This window comes from Homo sapiens, chromosome 7, assembly GCF_000001405.40.
Source record: "Homo sapiens chromosome 7, GRCh38.p14 Primary Assembly".
NCBI lineage: Eukaryota > Metazoa > Chordata > Mammalia > Primates > Hominidae > Homo > Homo sapiens.
The window spans coordinates 24,152,726-24,174,654 of NC_000007.14; the positions used below are offsets into that span (position 1 = coordinate 24,152,726).

Here is a 21,929-nt window from a genome sequence, read left to right on the forward strand (position 1 = left end):
TGGAAATAAAATTGGAGCCTTGTTTGTTTTTGCAGCATAAGCTAACTCACCAGGACTAATACACATGAGAAAGGAACAATTGATACTTATTAAAGTTTGGATCCTAAGATTTGAGGGTCCTAACGTTCCTTTCTCTCAGCTTGTTACAATGCTCCCATTTGGCTTATGGAGACAGACAAGGGGTGTGCAGGGACCTTCCTGGGGCCGTGCCCTGGACTGGCTTCTCTGGCTGAAAGCAGAGTAATTTGCACTCACCCAAAATTGTCCTTTGTTGCAAGAACATTTTTTGTTTATAGTTAACCTTTTACTGTGAAATCCATCTGTTCTTTTACTGCTTGGGCGTGTCTCAGTCAGCTTGGGTTTCTATAACAACATACCTTAGACTGGGTGGCTTCAACAGCAGAAATTTATTTTCTCACTGTCTGGAGGTTAGAAGTATAATATCAAGGTACTGGGTGATTTGGTTCATGGTGAGGACTCTCTGGCTCGTAGACAGCTGCTTTCTCACCGTGTCCTCACATGGGAGAGAGCGAAAGACAGAGTAAGGGAGAGAGAGCAAGAGAGCAAGCAGACAAATGCAAACTGTTTGGTCTCTTCTTACAAGGGCACCAACAGTCCATCTTGAGGGCTCCACCCTCAAGAGTTAAAGTGAGCAGTTTATTTAAAGTGAACTAAATATAGCCTGAGAAGGACTCCGTACTTCTATATTTGAGTTCTTGTGGACAAACTGCAACCTAGCTTAATAGATAGACAAGATTGAAAACCTAATTTAGGAGTATGAGCCTGTAACAATAGCTGAGTCTTGGGCAATGCAGCGGCCATTCATATACTGCTGAGTGTTCAAACTGTGTTCAAATAAGGCAAACGCCGAGCTGTAACCAATCCAGCCATTCTGTACCTCACTTCCCATTTCTGTATGTCATTTCCCACCCCCCCCCTTTTTTTTTTGTCTATAAATCTTCTTCCATCACATGGCTGTGCTGGAGTCTCTGTGAATCTGCTGTGATTCTGGGGACTGCCTAATTCACAAGTTGTTCATTGCTCAATTAAATTTAAATTTATTTGGCTGAAGTTTTTCGTTTATCAATCCTCATGACCCAAAGACCCCATCTCAAAATACCATCACATAAGGCTTCAACATATACATTTTTGGGATAACAATTCAGTCGTTAGTGGGAGAAATTAAGGGTTTTAACTTTTCTTGCTGAATGTGTGGCATCTGATGAGAAAAAACGTTCTATCCCCTTCCCATGCTTTGTACTGCACATGGTGGGATACAGTGGCACACCTAAAACAGCAGGATCAAGTCTAAAGACTGTGGGATTAAAAAAGAAAGTTGATTTCTGACCCTAGAAAACTAAGAGAAGGTAAGATAAGGTAGGGAAGGACGAAAACCTAGAGACCCTGGAAACCTTCCCTGTTTTGAAGCAAAGGTGATTGTCTTTTTCCTGCACTAGTTTATGCATTTAAATATAATCCTCAGAAGTGAAGTTTTCATTTAGCCTGATGTTTGTAGAGACTTTTTTTCCTGAGTGAGTGGCATGGATAAAAATCTTTTTCATATATTTTTAAAGGAAACTAGTTACCACTCCTTAGCTAGCCCACAGACTTGGAGAATGATTCACATGTTGGTGGTAGGTATTATTGAGGAAAAATAATTCTAATGGTCATCCCTTGGTGGAATGGCCCTGTATGTATGATTAACAAAGATGTCTATGTTCATGCTTTTATTTTATAACAATCCTGTAAGTTAATTAAAAGCATTATTTTAATTCCCATTTTATAGCTAAAAAATTGAGATATTTAATGTCTGAACTATGTCAAAGATAGTGAACAGTGACTATGTCTGCCCTCATCATTGCCACTATGCTGGACCATGCTAAAGTGGAAATTTTGATGCCTCTACAGACAGCTCTCGATTATTTGCTATAATGGGAAACAGGCCCAATGCAATTGATTGGAAGTCCACTCTCCATCACCAGCTCTCAGTTTAGCTTCCTCTGCAGGCCCAATCACTACCTTGATTTAAGGCTACATTGACTTAACACACCTTTCTCCTTCCATTCCTTTATCTTGTTTTTTAAATCCTCTGTAGTAATGCTAACATGCATTTAAAAACATGCAATTCTGGGATGAGAATCAAGGAGACCACAAAAAGCTACAAACTGGCAAATGAATAATGGAAAACTTAGTGAGTGTTTAGTGTTGTGTTAAGTGAAGCCAAGTCCTGTGCTGAACATGTGGGGGATAGGGGCTGCCATCTCCATATTTGCATGGTAGGTCACACACTGTATAGCTTTTTCCAATCCAGCATCCTTTTCCTTTTTTCTATTGTGGCCGCCACCTTAATACAGTGTCACAGTAGTTGGGAAGAAAGTTGGAGGACTCTGGAGATTGACTATTATTGTTATGCTGTTACCTGTCACGCTTTGAAAGGTCACAGATTTTTCTGTGTGAGGCGCTAGCTCTGTTGGTTCTGCTAACATGAAGGGAGTGCGGTGCTGACACAGGTCAGGAGAGGGCCTCTGGGAGAGGGAAAAAGGGGGAAACAAGGTCAGCCTAAGCTGGAGAGGGCTACAAAACCACAAGGAATCTGCCTGCTCCTTAGAACTGCACAAGAGGGTAGAATGATGTTGCACATTTTTTCAGACATTCATTCATTTATTCAAGAAATTGAGGTAGGCATGTATTATGGGCAGGACATGAGGGGTAGAACGTTCTCATCTAATACAATCTTGGGAGGAGAGTCATGTATTTGGAAAACAAACAAAAAACTCTTACATCACCAAGCAGAGTGACAGCTGAGGGGTTTGCATTTAGAGCACCCGAGCTTTTTTCAGATGGGACACAGGGGTTTAGGAGCTTCATGGAGGAGCCAGTGACTTAATGGCTTTCTCATTATCATTGCAACCTGATCTAACTCAGTCTAGTCACATTCCAAACCTAAAGTTCTTTTGGGGATGATAAAAACAGATGCCAAAGAAGCCGTGAGGTGGGTGGGGCCTAAGGCTTTTCCATAAGCTGACGATTGTGTGATGTGGAAGTGAGACCAAATCCTGCCACGTGGACAGTTATTTATGGAACAGAACATACATCAGCAAGCACTCATCAGTTAACATCCTGTTCTGTGAAGTCAGTAAAGTCCTGGACCACTCAGAAAACCAGAATCTTCCCAATCAGGGCCTGGACACAGGACCATTTAGGGATGAGAACTAAAGCACCATTCCTAAGGGTGCAGGTGACAGCATAACTGGGCTCTTATACCCTAGGCAAGAAATAAAGAGATATGTCTCTAAGGATTTCAGCTAATCCATATATTTTAAATACCTGTAATTTTTATCGATGAAAGCCCATTTTTAGCATTTATCATCGCTAGTTATCAAGTCATTATTTTCATAATAAAATCCCGTTTCTGACATTCACTTTGCTAATTAACAAGGTCTTGGGCACTGATTGCTAGATGGAGTGCTGAAGCACGTGTAGTCATCTCCTCTAAAGGGTGGTGTTTCTGATGTATTGCCAGCTGGCCACCTTTAAAATGTGGGACTTCTGTTAGGACAGTTGAATGCTTAGAGTTGATGTTTACACTAGTTGTCAATTTCATATGTCACACTATCTATGCTGGGAACTATTTTAAAGTGACACCATGAGTAATATTGGCACCTTTTATTGAATATTTTCCTATTGAGTTGTCTGTTGGTACTAGTCTCTGCCTCTTCTGTCACTTTTCTGGAAATTACTCCACCCCTCCCGTCCCATGATAATTAATATCTATGACCCTGCCCTCCCTGGTCAGCAATGAACATAACCCAAATGTGGCTGATTAGCCTCTTGTCCTATAAAATAGGAATTGGGGCTCAGAGGGAGACCCAGTTACTTTTTGACAGCTGGACCCACCACCACAACAGTTCCAAAGCTCCCCAGTGGGCTACTCCCCAACAATAACCTTGCACAGCAGGATGAGTTACAGGTCCATTCCTGCAAGATACAGGACTCCTCAACCCAGAAACTTTGGTTCTAAGGTGTCTTGTGGGCCTGCCTGGGATGTTCTCCAGCTGAGCTGCAGTCCAAGGTTCTTTCTTGCCCAACCCTGCTTCCTTCCCCCTCTTCTCCACAGGAGTCAGACCTGCACCACGATCTGCAGGCTCTTTTTGTCTTCCCCAGCTCCTTCCCCTACTCCCTTTATGGGTAGTTCCTCCAATTAAACTCTTCTACAGCTAATCCCATCTTGGCATCTGCATCAGGAGGACTTGAACTAACACAGTGGCTCTAGTCTCTTCCTGAGGCCTGATGATAATCCTCCTCTTGGGCTTTATGAGCTGTGTAGCCTAATTTTACATTTCCATTTTTAATGCTTAACCCACATGAGCAATTTACTGTTATTTGCAACCAAAAGAACAAATAGAGTTACCAGGTACCAAGGGTTTTGCTAAGCTTCACAGATTTATTTTCTCACTTAATTCTTGGATTACCCCTGAGAAGTATGTATTTTTATCACCATTTCCCAGAAGAGGAATGAGTTTTAGAGACTGAGTAGTTTTCCCAGGATTACACCGTGGATCACACACAGCCTTAAGAGTGGAGAGGCTAGGATTTGAACTCAGAATTCTCAGACTCCCTGAGACTCAGACTCCAGAGCTTATGCTCTAAGCTATTCTTTTCTGCTGGGGTCTACATGATGATACAATTAATACTTGACCTCTGCCTCTTAAACCAAACTTCCCAGCAACTCCGTATTTCTTGGGATATCTTCCTGGACCCAGGTAACTCATTGCCCTTTCCTTCTTGCCTCTAAATCAATGTTGAAATATTCCTCAGACCTTTCATCCTCTGAGCTTGAAACATGTGCCATCTGTGGGCTGGAAGACAATCGGCTTCATTCCTATAGTAAATAAGGAAAGGTAAAGATTGCATGGCTGCCATCTCTCTACCATCTCCATAAATAGGCCTCATTTACATTGGTGTCAGAACTAGAGGAGGCAGAACAAATGATACTTTGTGAGGGGACAGACATAATTCAAAATGCGAAAGGAATTACAAAGAGACTTTCATGTGTTGTGCAATGCTGCAAGTCAGGAGAGACTTGGTGGCTCTCCCTACAATTTTAAAAATAGATTTTTTAAAAAACACCCCAAACATAACCCAAGTAAATAGTTTGACAGATTACTGAGAATTGCTATATTCTTGAGCCACTGAAGCAAGATTTTCACTCTCTTTAGAAAACAGCGCAAACTGGGCAATCGAAAGTATGAAATCCCATCTGGGAACAAAGTACAAGATGAATACAACTATGAAAATGGAAAGCAGTCAAGCCAGAGCCATCCCTTTCCTAGCACACACAGGCTGCCTACCTGGGGGGGTTATGCCCCTCCCCATGTACTACCCCTTAGGGTACAGCCAACAACTGACTGACATGGAGGACAAAAGGCTGGTCCCCTTTCCCCACAGAGGGATGGGCTCTGTGGTACATTCTTGTTCCAGAGCTCTCATGAGACCAGGCTCTCAGTCAGGGTCCTGCTGAGATGGCACACTTGCTTAGCCCCTTTCTCTGCCTCATCCTGTTTGTCTCATTTCTCTTTTGAGAACCCTCCTTCTTTGATAAGTTACATCTACAAGAATCCTTGTCTCAGGCTCTGCTTCTAGGGAATCCAATCTAAAATAGTGGCTTGCAGGAGTTTTATTTGGGAAGAACTGGAATGCAGGCTATCATCCTGGGTACTTTCTTGGACCCTGGGGAATGTTGGAGAACAAGTTTTGGGGTGGTAGAAAATCTTTAGAAAAAGGGGAGAGAGAAGAAGAACAATGCTGAAAAGTGAGAGAAGCTAGTGAACAAATGAAGCAAGAAACTCTTGACTGAGGAAAACTTTTCTCTGTAGGAGTTCAGATTCCTAAGAACACATGAGCATATCTGTCACCTTTCCAGGGTGTCCTTAATCTGGAAGATGGGGTATTTTGAGGATGTTGTTACAAATGCTCTTGTTGGATTTTGACTCCACCCTTCCATGCTTTCTGATTTGAACTTATTTATTTATTTATTTATTTTTTGAGACGGAGTTTCGCTCTTGTTGCCCAGGCTGAAGTGCAATGGCATGATCTCGGCTCACCACAACCTCTGCCTCCTGGGTTGAAGCGATTCTCCTGCCTCAGCCTTCCGAGTAGCTGGGATTACAGGCATGCGCCACCACGCCTGGCTAATTTTGTGTTTTTAGTAGAGACGGGGTTTCTCCATGTTGATCAGGCTGGTCTTGAACTCCCGACCTCAGGTGATCTGCCTGCCTCGGCCTCCCAAAGTGCTAGGATTACAGGCATGAGCCACTGTACGCGGCCTAAACTTATTTTTAACATTAAAAAGATTTCCTTGAACTCACTTCCAGTCAGTCTCAGCAGGGGCTCTTGGTTACTCAGTGGAGATTTTGCATTCCTTTAGCTGGCAGCTGGCATTGATTATCCTTCCACAGGATAATTAGAGTGCTGGCGCCTCTGCAGAGTACAGCATCTGTACAATGATTTGCTGTAATAGCTAAAGGAGATTCAAGAATTAGTCACTTCTTTTGTTCAGATCAGTCTGCAAGCTACCATTTAAGAAGGATGTGTCCGGGACTCAGGGAGGCATGAAGTTCTTTAGATAGCAGTAAAGTGGAATGGTTCAAAGCTTGGGCTCTGTGGTCAGCTTCCCTATATAGGGTTTGCAATGGTTAAATGAGACGATACTTTTAGAGCGTGTAGCACAAGGTGACATGAAGTAAGTACACACTAAATGTCACCTATCATGATGATGGATCCTGAGCCCCTCCAGCATTGATTCCATGAGTCCTCTCATGTTACCTCTTCCCTTTGCTCTGTCTAGTTGTTGGTGCTTTGGGGTCTCAAAGAGGAGATGCTGTTTTTGAGGATGACCCAGACCCTCCTTGTTGACTCCCAAACTGTTTAATCTTAGTTCACAGATGATTAGCTCCATAGGACCCCATGCCAGCTTCTGATCCTATCCCTTAGCTATGCCCCCATCCCATCATCCCCTAGTCTCTGCTTTTGGCAACTTATGCCTGGCCCTCCCAGTCAGCAATTCTTGCCTTTCAGATTTTTTTGTTTTGTTTTGATTTTTTCGAGACAAAGTCTCACTATGTTGCTCAGGCGAGAGTGCAGTGGCTATTCACAGGTGCAATCATAGTGCAGTACAGCCTTGAACTCCTGGCCTCAACCGAACATCCTGCCTCAGCCTCCTGAGTAGCCGGAACTACCGACTGCATCTCGTTGCCGTTCAGATTTGGACACTTACTGTGATCTTGGGTGAGAAAATATTTCATCCCATTATGTAGCTAGGGAGTTACCTGGAAACCTATCAGCTACACTTGCCTTCCCACCTCCTGAGTGGAAGGGAGTGCACCCCTCTCTTGCTTTGAGGCATGGAAAAGCAAAGACTTGGGAAGAAAGAACATACTCCAGTTTTTTGTTTTTTTTTTTAACCCCACCTTCAGCCTTGGATACCAAGACAGGATCTGTATTACCAATCAATATGCACATTAAAAACATGTTTTGTGTTAACTTAGTTGGACTTAATTGCTATTTTTACTTCCATTTGACTGGGGAATTATATGCTTTGTTACTATTTTACTAGCATCTCCTCACTATCTAGGCATGGCTCAATGCTCTCCATTCCTTTGGTGGCCAACTGCATTGCTGATGAAGACATGAGTAGAACATTTATGCAAGACAAATTTATTGTACTTTGTGATTTTCAGAGGTATGACCTGTCATGACAACATTTCAGTGCTTTGTGGCCTCAAGAGATTTGTGTTTGGGGAATGGAACACAGTGGGAGTGGGTGTCTCTATTCAACCTTTATGCCTGAAACCCTGTACTCCACATTCCTGATCTTTGAATTTCTCCAACTTTCCTACCTTAAGGTTCACACCAAGGCCTCTCCCAAAACCCAGTTCCCCATGATCATATTTTGTGTAGGATGCGGGGATCCTGGCCAAGGCAGCTTTTTCTTGAACATTTACCTGAGAGTAGGGTTAAATGCTCAAGAAACATGGAGCCTAAGACAAATAGGAACTTGAAAAAATAATCTAGCAGCTTATTTGTTTATGCATTTTTTTTAAATGAAAAACAATCCAGCAGTGCTGGGGATGATTTTTGTTGTTTGCTCTTGCTAGTCATTTTGCTGAAAGACAAAGTGCTGGATGCTAGTCCAGCCCAGGCTTCTCCATTTAGCAGCTGTGACTTTGGACACAGGACTTCACCTGGTTAAGACTTGGGTTCCGCTTCCTTAGAATGGGGATAATACCTACTCCATGGAGTTGTTAGGAGAATGAGTGCACCTGGCACACAGGAATCATGTAATACATGAGGAACATTATGATTATAAACTGCAAAGATTAGTCATAAAATATCACAGCTGGAAGGGGACCTCTATTATTGAGAAGGTTGAGGTTTTCAAGAAAGAAAACAAAGGTACCAGATGCTGCATTCCCTTTCCCATAACTTCCCATAAAAGTATTGAGTGTGATATGAAACCAGTTCACAGGCAGAGGAATAAAGACTGGTGATTTAATGTCTAATGAGGTGTTATTCATGTTTACTAAGGTTGCAATAGATAAACCTATATTGCTCACTCTTATTTCTTATGATTCCAGAATTTATTTTTAAGTATCCTTTTGAGATAGAGGTTGAGAAAGGAGAGACATCGTGGTTGAAGGTAGGAATAAAGCTTGTTCAACTCTAGGTATGTTTAATTCATTTTGTGAACTATTAGTACAATAAATGCTGATTTCATTCACAACTAAGTGGGGCTATTTATGTTTGAATGAAAAGCACGTGCACTTGCTCACACAAAGCTCTATTGTGAACTAAAAAAATCAATTTTTATTGTTCAAACAACTATGCATTAGTCAAAGGCCCCAAATGAGGGTTCTGAGAATTGTGGGCATAAACTAGGAATATTAATGTGTTAGAATTTTTATGTGGTTTCATAGGATGGATGGGGATGTAATAGAGGTGAGCAGGCTCAAGAATATTTTCCAGTGGCCTTGATGCTGCCCACTTAAGCTTTATTATGTTGCATTGGTGATTCTATAGCACACAGCAAGACAAGTCTTTGATTTATTCACAGCTTCATAGTGAATGAGAGATCAGCAATGTCTAAAGAAGCAGCAGCTGTGTTTGTGAGGACTACTTCACTTAGGGGTTCGAGAAACAAACAAGGAGTGCCACATGCATAGAGCCCACAAGTGCCTTTAGAATTGACAGAGATTGAAGCTCTGGAGGTCTAGAGAGAGGCCACAACACATTCTGCATTCCCATTGGCTTAGAGCTATGTCCACAAGGTCAGTTTTCAGAGAATGGCCATTCCCTTTATGCATTTTATACTCATATATATGACCTCCACAGGCAAAAAGCACCTTTAAATAACTGTTTTCTCTGGTTTCTATGAAGAATATTTGTAAATTGGGAAAATTCAATAAAATAGAATGAATAAAATAAACATCTTCTCAAATCTTCCCTAAAGATAACCTCTGTATCATCATGGTGTGAATAAATAGTACATATAATATACTCAGTACAGTGTCTGGAAGGTAGTAAGTTCATAATAAATAACTAAAAATGTTTTGTATGTAATTTTTCTTTCCGTTGTTTTCCCTACTTATATACATGCATTTGTTGAATAAGTGAATATCCAACAAATATTCACTGAGCACCAGGCACTTTGAAATGGGCTAAGGAGAAGGGAATAACACAGTGGCGTGAACAAGACATAGTCTTTTGCCCATAAGTTGCTCACAATTTTAGTAGAAGTTACAAACAGGTAAATGGACCGTTGCAATGTAATGGGAGAGGTGATGTAGAATGTGCTACGTTGAGACTATCAGACTGCTATGGTTTGGTTCTGCGTCCCCACCCAAATCTTAGCTTAAATTGTAATCCCCACTCGTTGAGGGAGGGACGTGGCTGAAGGTGATTGGATCATAAGGGCAGTTTCCCCCAGGCTGTTCTCATGATAATGAAGGAGTTCTCACGAGATCGTGTTGTTAATAAGTGTCTGGCATTTCCCTTGCATTGTCCCTCTCTCTCTCCTGCCATCTTTTGAAGACAGTGCTTGTTTCTCCTTTGCCTTCTACCAGGATTGTAAGTTTCCTTAGCCATGCGGAACTGTGAGTCAATTAAACCTCCTTCCTTTGTAAATTACCCATTCTCAGATAGTATCTTTATAGCAGTGTGAGAATGGACTAACACAGAGAATTGGTAACAGGAGTTGTGTACTGCTATAAAGGTAATATGAAAATGTGGAAGTGACTTTGGAACTGGATAACAGACAGAGCTTGGAACAGTTTGGAGGGCTCAAAAGAAGACAGGAAAATATGGAAAAGTTTGGAACTTCCTAGAGATTTGTTGAATGGTTTTGACCAAAATCCTGATAGTGATATGGACAATGAAGTCCAGACTGAGGTGGTCTCTGATGGAGATGAGGAACATATTAGGAAGTAGAGCAAAGGTCACTCTTCCTATGCTTTAGCAAAGAGACTGGCAGCATTTTGCCCCTGCCCTAAAGATATGTGGAATTTTGAACTTGAGAGAGATGATTTAGGGTATCTTGTGGAAGAAATTTCTAAGCAGCAAAACATTCAAGATGTGACCTGGCTTATTCTGAAAGCGTTCAGTTATATGTGTTCACAAAGAGATGGTTTGAAATGGGAACTTATGTCTAAAAGGGAAGCAGAGAATAAAGGTTTGGAAAATTTGCAGCCTGATCATGTGATAAAAAAGGAAAACCCATTTTCTGGGGAGGAATTCAAGCCAGCTGCAGAAATTTGCATAAGTAACAAGGAGCTGAAAGTTAATAGCCAAGACAATGGAGAAAATGTCTCCAGGGCATGTCAGAGACCTTCACAGCAGCCCCTCCCATTAAAGGCCCAGAGGCCTAGAAGGGAAAATTGGTGGGCCAGGCCCAGGGTCCTGTTGCTCTGTGCAGCCCTGGGATATGGCACCCTGCATTCCAGCTGCTCCAGCTTCATCCACTGCTAAAAGGGGCCAATGTACAGCTCAGGCCATTGCTTCAGAGAGCTGAAGCTCCAGACCTTGGTGACTTCCATGTGGTGTTGGGCCTGTGGGTGCACAGAAGACAAGAGTTGAGTTTTGGGAGACTCAACCTAGATTTCAGAGGATGTATGGTAACTCCTGAATGTCCAGGCAGAAGTGTGATGCAAGGATGGAGGCCTCATGGAGAACCTCTACTAAGGCAATGCAGAGGGGAAATGTGGGATTGGAGCTCCAACACAGAGTCCCTACTGGGGCTCTGCCTAGGGATCTGTGAGAATAGGGCCATCACCCTCCAGACCCCAGAAAGAAAGATCCACCAACAGTTTTGACCATATGCCTGGAAAAGCCACAGGCACCCAACGCCAGCCTGTGAAAGCAGCTGCAGGTGCTGTACCCTGCAGAGCCACAGGGGCAGAGCTGCCCAAGGCCTTGGGAGCCTACCTCTTGCATCAATATGTCGTGGATGTGAGACATGAAGTCAAAGGAAATCATTTTGGAGATTTAAGATTTAATGACTGCCCTGTTGGATTTTAGACTTGCATGGGGCCTGTGGCCCCTTCATTTTGGCCAATTTCTCCCATTTGGAACAGGAACATTTACCCAATGCCTATACCCCCACTGTATCTTGTAAGTAACTAACTAGCTTTTGATTTTATGGGCTCATAGGCTGAAGAGACTTGCCTTGTCCCAGATGAGACTTTGGACTTGGACTTTGGAGTAAATGCTGGAATGAGTTAAAACTTTGAGGGGGTGTTTGGAAGTTATGATTGGGTTTGAAACGTGAAAAGAACATGAGATTTGGAAGAGTCCAGATGTGAAATGATATGGTTTGGCTGCGTATCCCCACCAAAATCTTATCTCAGATTGTAATCCCCACGTGTCAAGGGAGTGTCACAGGATCCTTTAGGTGTTGCCTCACCAGCCAGCAACCTCTGTGGCTGGTTCTACTTACTTGGCCCAGCAGGCTATGCCTGGCTCATGCTACTGGCCCAGATTCCACACCCGCCAAGGGTAGCCAGGCATGCAATGGTAAGGGGTGTATGAGCAAGCAAGTGTGGGGTCCAGCCACTATGCACAGACAGGCATGTTGGCTGCTGTGGCAGGGTGGGCAGCTCTAGGAACTGGCACTGGGGGCTGTGGCTGGACCAGGCATACCACAAGTGGCTTCTGCTGCAGGCACCCACTTCTGGACAGTGGATGCAATGGCACCTGAAAACTCAGAGATGCCAGCAACTGTGGAGTCCCAAGGGGTGGAAGGCAGTGTGCTATAGCTCTCATTCCTGCTGTGCACAGCTGGGCAAATGGTGGAGGAATGTTTTCAGTTTGTTCAGACCCACCACCTTGCTCTGGCCTGTGGCTCCTGGGCTGGCCCAGCCCCACTGCCCCTTCCTGTCACATGAGGTGGCCACCCAGTAGCAACAGAGGGTGGGAGGGCTATAGTGTTACAGCTGTGGCTAGGGGATTCCTGAGGTCTGGGCCCCCAGAAAGGTCACTGCTTTTCACATCCACACTCTGGGAAACAGGAGTGTGTCACCACCCACATCTTGGTGAACCAACCAGAAACATGTTACAGCCCTTTTTGCTCCCACTTGCAGCTCGGTGAGCTAGCCAGAAAAGTGTTACAGCCCTTTTTGCACCCACCATTCAGCAGGTCCCGAGTTCTTGTCCTGCATCCAGTAAGAATGAGGTTAGGTGGAAAACTGGAAGGTGAGCAAGGCAGAGAAGAGTTTTATTGAGTGACAATGGAGAGGAGACCCTAAGTGGGTAGCTTCTATTAGCAGGCACGTGGTCCTTATGTGTGGCTGAGTCTGGGGGTTTTTATGGGCTTAGAATGGAGCGAATGCATGCTGATTGGTCCATGGGTGGCAGGAAGTGTGTGCTAATTGGTCCATGGGTGAGCTTGGAGAAAACAAACACCATTTGATTGGCTGAAAGGCATCAAGGAAGCTCTCACTCCAGGTTGTGGATTCTACCCGGAACCGAAAGCCTGGTTTTCAGGCTTCAGGTTGTCTTTGGCTTGAAGGTTGGCTTTCATGGGGGACCTTCCCCTATCTGCCTAGGAATTTGTCTCCTGCTGCTATCAGGAAGGACCTGGTGGAAGGTAATTGGATTATAGAGGTGGTTCCCTAATGCTGTTCTTGTGATAGTGAGGGAGTTCTCATGAGATCTGGTTGTTTGGTAGGTGTCTGGCATTTCCCCCGTACTTTCACTCTCTCCTGCCACCTTGTAAAGAAGGTGCTTGCTTCTCCTTTGCCTTCCAGCATGATTGTAAGTTTCCTGATCCATGCAGAACTGTGAATCAGGTAAACCTTTTTCCTTTATAAATTACCTAGCCTCAGGTAGTATCTTTACAGCAGTGTGAGAACAGAGTAATACACAGAGGCTCCTTAACCTTGGCAGGGGGCTTTCTGGAGAAACTGACACGCATTTTCAGACCTGAAGGATAAGCAGGAACCATTCAATTAACGGAGTAGAAATGAGAAAAATGTTTTCCACAGAGAAAGCAAACAAGCTACATTCCTGAAGCAAGAGAGAACATCACAGCCCATTTATGAAATAACACAGAATTCTATGTAGCTGAAGTGTACACAGTTGTGATTCAATGAGATAAATGGTGGGAGGGTTGGAGGGTGGAGTTGAATGGGTGGGACTGGGAGGAGTCAGCAGGAATAATAAACAAGGATACTGAGATGTGAGTGAGGCTGAGAGAGTGAAGGGCTGTGAAGATGCCCTGTGAGAGAATTTAAATTTTATCCTGAGGGTAGTGAGGAGCCACCGAAGCATGAGAGAAGCAGGATCAGATTTGTGCTTTAAAAAGAATACTTCTTAGGCCAGGTGCAGTGGCTCACACCTGTAATCCCAGCACTTTGGGAGGCCGAGGTGGGAGGATCACGAGGTCAAGAGATCAAGACCATCTTGTCCAACATGGTGAAACCCCATGTTTCTACTACTAAAAATACAAAAATTAGCTGGGCATGGTGGCACGCGTCTGTCGTCCCAGCTACTCAGGAGGCTGAGGCAGGAGAATCGCTTGAACCCGGGAGGCGGAGGTTGCAGTGAGCTGAGATCGTGCCATTGTACTCTAGCCTGGGCAAGAGAGCAAGACTCAGTCAAAAAAAAAAAAAAAAAAAAAAAAAGAAGAAGAAGAATACTTAAAATCAATACAAAATAGGTTGCCAAATAATCAATAAAAGAATTTGAGAAGAGTGGTCAAAAATAGTCTATCTTGAAACCTTTAAACGTCTTTTATATTTTGGATATAGCACAAATTTAATAATTATAACATTTAAAAAATAAACAACACTGACATCACTACATATTAAAAGCTGTGGTGTGTGGGAAAAGTGGCATCCCATGCGAAATTTACAGGCATGAAAGTATTTATCAGAAACTAATAAAAACTGAAAGTAAGTGACCTAAGTCTTCAGCTTAAAGATAAAAATAAATAAAACAGAACATAAAAAGTGTATTTGAACAATAGAAGCAAAATCTGATACTTCAAAATGATCAGATAAAACAGCTTGATTAAGATAAGATGGATGACCCTAGTAAATAGCATTAAAAATGAATATGAACACCAATAAGACCTTTTAAAAATGACAAAACTATGTGCAAGTTTATACCACTATGTTTAAATAAGATATACATGATTTTCTATGAAAATACAGATAATTAAAATAGATTCAAAGAAATAGAAAAACTACAGACTAATAACCATAAAAAAAACTGAAAATATAAGCCCTATTCCTAAAGAAGACAAGAAATCATTTTTAAAGTAAATTCTACTGAAACACAAGTTGAGAATAATTATTATTTATATAAATTCTTTAAAAGAATATGAAACATTTACGAACAAGGACACAAAGATAATAAATCATATTTTTAAGTTGAAACTAGCAATAAAATGAAATGATAATACATTATGACAAAGCATGCATTATCCTTGAAATGCAAGGATATTTTAATATCAGGGATCTGATATTATAATTCATTACATTGCTATATTAAAATATAGAAGTCATACGATCATTTCCATAGATACTGAAAGAGCACTTGATAAAATTTTAACACCTGCTACCAACAACAGTTCTTGACAAACTAGGAATAGAATAAAGCTTCCTTAATTTAGAAAATGTTAATAGAAACCTATAGCAAACATCATACTTAATAGAAAAAAGAAACATTCCTATTAAGTCAGGAACAAAACAAGGCTTTCAGCTATGACTTCTGCTGTTCAACATTGTACTAAAAGCCATAGATAATGTAGTAAAACAAGAAAAGAGATAAGAAATGGCAATATTGGAAAATTAAAAGCAACTTATTAATTGCAATACTAAGTTTTAGGAGAATCAACTGAAAAAAAAACCCAAAATTTTAAGTGATATGAGAAAGTTGAACAGGTAGAAGATCAACATTTTTCAAAATGAATAGCTTTCCTATATTCCTATTAGAAATTGATAGGGAAAAAGAGCCCACAATTACATCGATACTAGGAATAAGCCTAACCAGCAAAGTGAAAGATTGATATGCATGCATTTCAACCAATCTTAAAACTTTACTTAAGGCCATAAAGAAAAACTCAGCAAACAAGGAGATATTCTATGTTTTTTACTGTAAAGACTCAATACTGTAATGAAGTTAATTCTCCTTGAATTAATTGCTAAATTAAATATAGCCCAATATGATTTTTTAATGAGTCTCAGCAAAATAATGCTAAAGTTCATTCAGAAAATAATATGAACAAGGATGAAAATTTTTTAAAAAGATAATGAGATTTTCCATGCCTGATATAAAAATAAATGCATAGATAATAATAATTAAAACAATGTTATATTGGTCAGAAGTTAGGGAAATGGATCAATGGAATAGAATTTTAAAAATCCATAAACAGACCTGTGGAAACAGACTTATGTACAGACTGTCCATTTAGTATATGATAAAGGTGGCATTTAATTTTTCTGGAAACTGAGAATTTGATTTAATATAATGGCTTTATATTGACATGGTTCAAAAAATGAAACAATATAAAAGCTGAAAGAATATATTCAGTCTCTGTAACAACTTACCACAAACTTGGAGGTTTAAATAACCCAAATTTATTATTTTATAGTTCTGTAGGTTAGAGGGTCAACCTTGATCTCAAAAGACTGAAATTGATTACTCAGCAGGGTGCATATCTTTTTGGAGTCTCTAAAGGAGAGTCTGTTTTCTTGCCCCCTTCAGCTGCTGGAGGCTGCCTGTATTCCTTAGCTCTTGGCCCCTCCTCCATCTTCAAAGCCAGCAACCTTGCAGCTTTCAGAGCTTGCTTTTCTTCCATAGTCAGCTCTTCCTCTGACCCTCGCCTTTTGTCTCTCTCCCTCTTCTATCTCAAGGCCACTATGCTTACATTGGGTCCACCTGGATAATCCAGCATACTTTCCCCATCTTATGGTCATTTGGTTAGAAACCTTAATTACATCTGCAGATTCCTCAAAGAGGAAACTGCCAAAAAGCAGAACTACCATTTGACTCAGCAATCCCATTACTGGGTATATACCCAGAGGAATGTAAATCATTTTACCATAAAGACACATGCACGCAAATGTTCACTGCAGCCCTATTCACGATAGCAAAGACATGGAATTAACCTAAATGTCCATCATTGACACTTTGGATAAAGAACATGTGGTACGTATACACCATGGAATACCATGCAGCCATATAAAAGAATAAGATCATGTCTTTTGTGGGAACATGGATAGAGCTGGAGGCCATTATCCTTAGCAAACTAATGCAGGAACATAAAACCAAATACCGCATGTGCTCATTTATAAGTGGGAGCTAAGTGATGAGAACTTATGAACACAAAGAAGGAAACAGCAGACATTGGTCTACTTGAGGGCAGAGGGTGAGAGGATAGGGAGGAACAGAAAAGATAACTATTGGGTACTGGGCTTAGTACCTGCATGATGAAATAATCTGTATAACAAACCCTCATGACAGGAGTTTACCTGTGTAACAAACCTTCACATGTACCCCCTAACCTAAAACAAAAGTTAAAAAAATCCATCTTTGTCACACTGCCTAACAAACATTCACAGGTTCTGGGTATAAGGAAATAGTCATACCAGGGCCTGGAGTAATTTTTCTGCCTGCCACAAGGAAGTATTATTCCCATTTCTGTCCCATCCACTCCATTCTGTCACTTCATATCTCCTTCAGATAATCACTTATGTTATGATTTTGTTTATTATTTATTTCTTTATGCAAATATAAGCAAAAACAAATACATATTTTCTCCCTTTCTTACATGAATAGTATATGCAGTCTTTCCATACCTTACTCTTTTTTCCACTTAATAATATATCCTTGCCGGGCACGGTGGCTCACGCCTGTAATCCCAGCACTTTGGGAGGTCGAGGCAGGCAGATCACGAGGTCAGGAGATCAAGACCATCCTGGCTAACATGGTGAAACCCTGTCTCTACTAAAAATACAAAAAATTACCTTGGCGTGGTGGCGGGTGCCTCTAGTCCCATCTACTCGGGAGGCTGAGGCAGGAGAATGGCGTGAACCCAGGAGGCGGAGCTTGCAGTGAGCCTAGATCATGCCACTGCACTCCAGCCTGGGCAACAGAGCAAGACTCTGTCTCAATAATAATAATAATAATAATAATAATAATAATATATCCTAGTAAGCTTTCATATTGACATTGGAGAGGTTCCTCATTCTGCATAACATACATTGTATCAATTAACAATTGTTTGTTTTTTGAATGGCACTTCAAATCCATGAGCAGAAGGTAAACTACATAATAAATGGCATTGGGATTACAGAGAATGTAACACATACATACATATATGTCTTAAATGCTTAGTAAAATATCCGTAAGTATAAACAGACTTTATTAGAGGTTACTTTTAGAGAAAGTGGGGTGAGGAAAATGAGAGTAAAAAGCAACTTTCATATTTTATGTAATATTTCCATGTTACGTAAATTTTTTTACAATGACATATATTCATGTATTGTATAATTATATAAACATAATAGTTTTTATAAGCATTTTCATATTGCTTATATAATGTATAATATGGAAACTACATCCTTGTGGATATTTATGATTACGATTTACGTTTCCAGAAGTGAAATTTTCAGATCCAAGGTAATTTACAATGCTCCCTAAAAAAGAGCTCTCTACAATTAACTTACACACCCATTGTTGAACGTATACAAGAGTGTTCATCTTCTCCAGGACTTAGTCAGTAGGACTTTTTTTTTCTGTCCACATTTTGCTCATCAAACATATGCTAAGAATAGGTTTTCCCATTGAAATTAAACTGGTAGCTGTTTATATAGCAAGTAAATATTTTGAATAAAAATTTATTGTTTATAAGTGGTACTAAAAATATTGAGTTTATCTTTTCTAAAAGTGATATGTGCTCTTTATGAACCTTCACATTCATTTCTTATGTTTGGGTTGTGAGTAAAGAGAGGAAAGGGTGTGAGGTTTGGTTCATTTTCAGGGGATGAAAGAAGGAAAAGAAAATTTATCAAATAACTACTATGTCCTAGGTGACTTCATCTACAGTATCTTACCTGTGAGATTTTACATTATTTCATAGAAAGTAAGGGTCAGAGAGTTTAAGCCGCCATTAAGGTTATGAACGTCAACCACAAAGAAAATTCCTAGCCCCCTAAGTAATTGAATGGGCCCCCTTCTCAGACAACGGGATTCCAAAGAAACCTAAAAAACTAGTCCAGGCTATATGGAAAGTAGGGGTCAGACGTGCTTCATTCTACTCGCTCCCTTTTGGAGTTTAGATGCAACAAACCAGCATTAACATTCAAACAGAGATCTTAAAACTGACAAAACAGACTCTTTGTAGCAATACAGTAACAATTTCAACCTGAGTCAGGTATAACATCAGATGACAGATAGCAGGCCCTGAAGGAAATGGAAATATTTTACCCCAAAATATATCTTACTGACATATTTTGAAATGGCCCTGCAAAGCTGTCTCTTGTGGGAAGGGGGTGTGGGAATTTACATTCTTTCAAGGTCCTTTTCTGATCCTGAAGAGATTAGCTGAGAGTCTAGCATATTTTTTTTTTTTTTGAGACAGAGTTTCGCTCTTGTTGCCCAGGCTGGAGTGCAATGGCGCGATCTTGGCTCACTGCAACCTCTGCCTAGTTGGGATTACAGGCATGCGCCACCACACCCGGCTAATTTTGTATTTTTAGTAGAGAAGGGGTTTCTCTATGTTGGTCAGGCTGGTCTCGAACGCCCGACCTCAGGTGATCCGCCCACCTCGGTCTCCCAAAGTGCAGGGATTACAGGCGTGAGCCACTGCGCCTGGCTGAGTCTAGGACCTTTGAAAGGTCTGAATAGGAAACATTTGCCATCTATTGCTTCTAAGGGCAGCCTTCTGTGAGACTTATCTACATAATAAGAACTTTGATCTCCACAACCCCTTATCTTAACCCAGACACTCCTTTCTATTGATTCCAGGCTTTTAGATAGTAACTTAACTCTTTTCAGCCACTTGCCAATCAGAAAACCTTTGAATTCACCTATGACCTGTAAGCCCGTGCTTCAAGTTGTCCCACTTTTCCAGACCAATCCAATGTATACCTCGCACATATTGATTGATGTCTTATATCTCCCTAAAAATACAAAACCAAGCTGTAACCCAGCCACTTTGGGCACATGTTCTCAGGCCCTCCTAAGGCCGTGGGTCATGATCCTTAACCTTGCAAAATAAATTGATTGAGGCCTGTCTCAGATACATTTTTGGCTTACACATAGCCAGGGCATGGCAAGTTGGCATCTGAATCAAGCCTGGGTCCATTGCCCCTCCCTGCATGTCCCACCATGTGTCACGCTAGCGTCCTTTCCATTTTCCCTTCTCTTGGCCTCTTAGCAACCCAACCCCCAAATGAATTTTCTCCCCAGATGCTCCATTCAGAACCATGAAAATCTTAGAGGAAATAGCTTTTCCTGAATCTCTAATCCCTACATCTTTTTTCTACTTTGGTCGATAATCTTGGGCATTTAACACCTGGGTCTATTTAGACCTAGAGTCCTGAATCCTATACTTTAACCCAGAGTCCTTGTCTCCTGGACAGCATGAGCAAGCACCATTCAAGGATAAACTGCGCCTAGTGTGAAGAAAATCAGAGATTTTAGACAGACCTAGCCATTTCCCTAGAGCTGCTTTTACTTCCTGACAGCTAATTTATCCCGATGATTGGCCCTGGACCCATAAACCGTCTAGCTCAGCCTGGCCATTTGTGAAGGCACAGGCAGTCGGCTGGCTCTCACCTCTGATAGCTGTGGGAACCAATTACTCTGCAGCAGGGCTTGGTGTGTGGCTGGAGCATCTGTGTGGACCACATGGGCCCTTTCAGCTTGTAGGATGTGTGGTGACTTGGAGCTGTTTGTTTTAAAGGTTCCTTTTGCATTATCAGCAAAGAATATGGAAAACAGCTCAATTTCAGCTGATTACCCACTAAAGTGCCTGGGAGCCACTCTGTAATTTTCATCGCTGCTTGCTGGGCTCTTCAGGAAAAGTTTGCAGGCGAATTTAATGGAACGTATTCAGTCCTCTTGAACGGCAGACAGACAAGACAACAACTTCCTGTTCCTTTTGTTTGGAAGTATCTGTTATCACAACATAGTAAACATTTTTTTTAAAACCATTCTGAGAACAGTTATTTGTGAGATGCCTCTCCAGTATAGCCTTACACCCAGACTTCAGTTTTCCTACAACCTCAGCCCAGCAGGAATTGTCTCTATCACCCAAGGCCAATGAGATTGACTGTAACAAGGTTTCCTAGTAAATGGCTCCTGGCCATCTAGATGGATAAATTCTCCTAACACTAGTTAGAATCAAATGACTAAACTCTAGCCTCATGGCCCAATCATACAGTGGTGTAATTGTCAACAATTAAAAACGATGTTGCAGATCTGGGCTTTTCATACCTTACTGTGCAAATCGGTCACTTGGGGATCTTGTTAAAATGAAGATTCCAGTTCAGTAGGTCTGGGTGGGCCTCAGGTCCTGCACTTTTAACAAATTACCAGGTGATGCTGATGCTGTTGGACCTTAGAATTTAGTGGAATATTCCACTAAATGTGTACTCATTGACACAAACTTGTATAGGATCTCTGCACATTCTTACATGTGGGTTTATCTTAAAGTGGAGGATATCAAATTATATGAGTACGTCATAATTTTTTAAATGTACAGGATATCTAGATTTAGAAATAGATGTGCTGTAAGTAAAGCAAGCGTCAGACAGTACTGTTTAAAATATACTGTTGGCCGGGCATGGTGGCCCATGCCTGCAATCTCAGCACTTCAGGAGGCCAAGGCAAGAGGATTGCTAGAGGCCAGGAGTTCAAGACCAGCCTGGCAACATAACGAGAGCCCGTCTCTACAAAAAAAGAAAAATTATCCAGCCATGGTGGCACACACATATAGTCCTAGCTACCCGGAAGGCTGAGATGGTAGGATCACTTAAGCCCAGGAGTTCGAGGTTGTGGTGAACTATGATAGCACCACTGCAGTCCAGCCTAGGCAACAGAATGAAACTGTGTTTCTAAAAGATTTTTTAAAATTCTGTTATAAAATTATATGTGTGTGTAGGTATAGATATATACAATTAAAATACAATTTTTTGTCCCCACCATCACTGCCTCTGTATAAAAATGATATCAGGACTCTGGTTTCTTTGCTCATTTTAGGTAACTGGTAACAATTATGTTAAGTTGCAAACAGTTTTCATTCAGTACAAAAATAGAACATCAATCCTTTGTGTTGGGCAAACTTCCCACCTGATTTAGGCTTAAATGTTCGCACCTCCTGGAACTCAGATCTGGTGCTGTGAAGGGAAAGTGGGGTGTGGTCTCTC

General features: G+C 41.4%; 1 long non-coding RNA gene across 4 annotated transcripts in view; it reads right to left on the minus strand.

Annotated features, from left to right (window-relative positions):
• The window catches only part of LOC107986777 (uncharacterized), a 303,857-nt gene that overhangs the window by 11,444 nt on the left and 270,484 nt on the right, over positions 1-21,929 (minus strand). For 2 of the 4 annotated variants that reach the window (XR_007060256.1, XR_007060257.1), the window contains one exon: positions 17,900-20,676. The exons of 1 other annotated variant lie outside the window; for it this stretch is intronic. This is a non-coding gene — a long non-coding RNA (uncharacterized LOC107986777). Of the gene's footprint in view, positions 1-17,899; positions 20,677-21,929 lie in introns of those variants that run through there. One more of the 4 variants, XR_007060254.1, reaches the window with a different exon arrangement.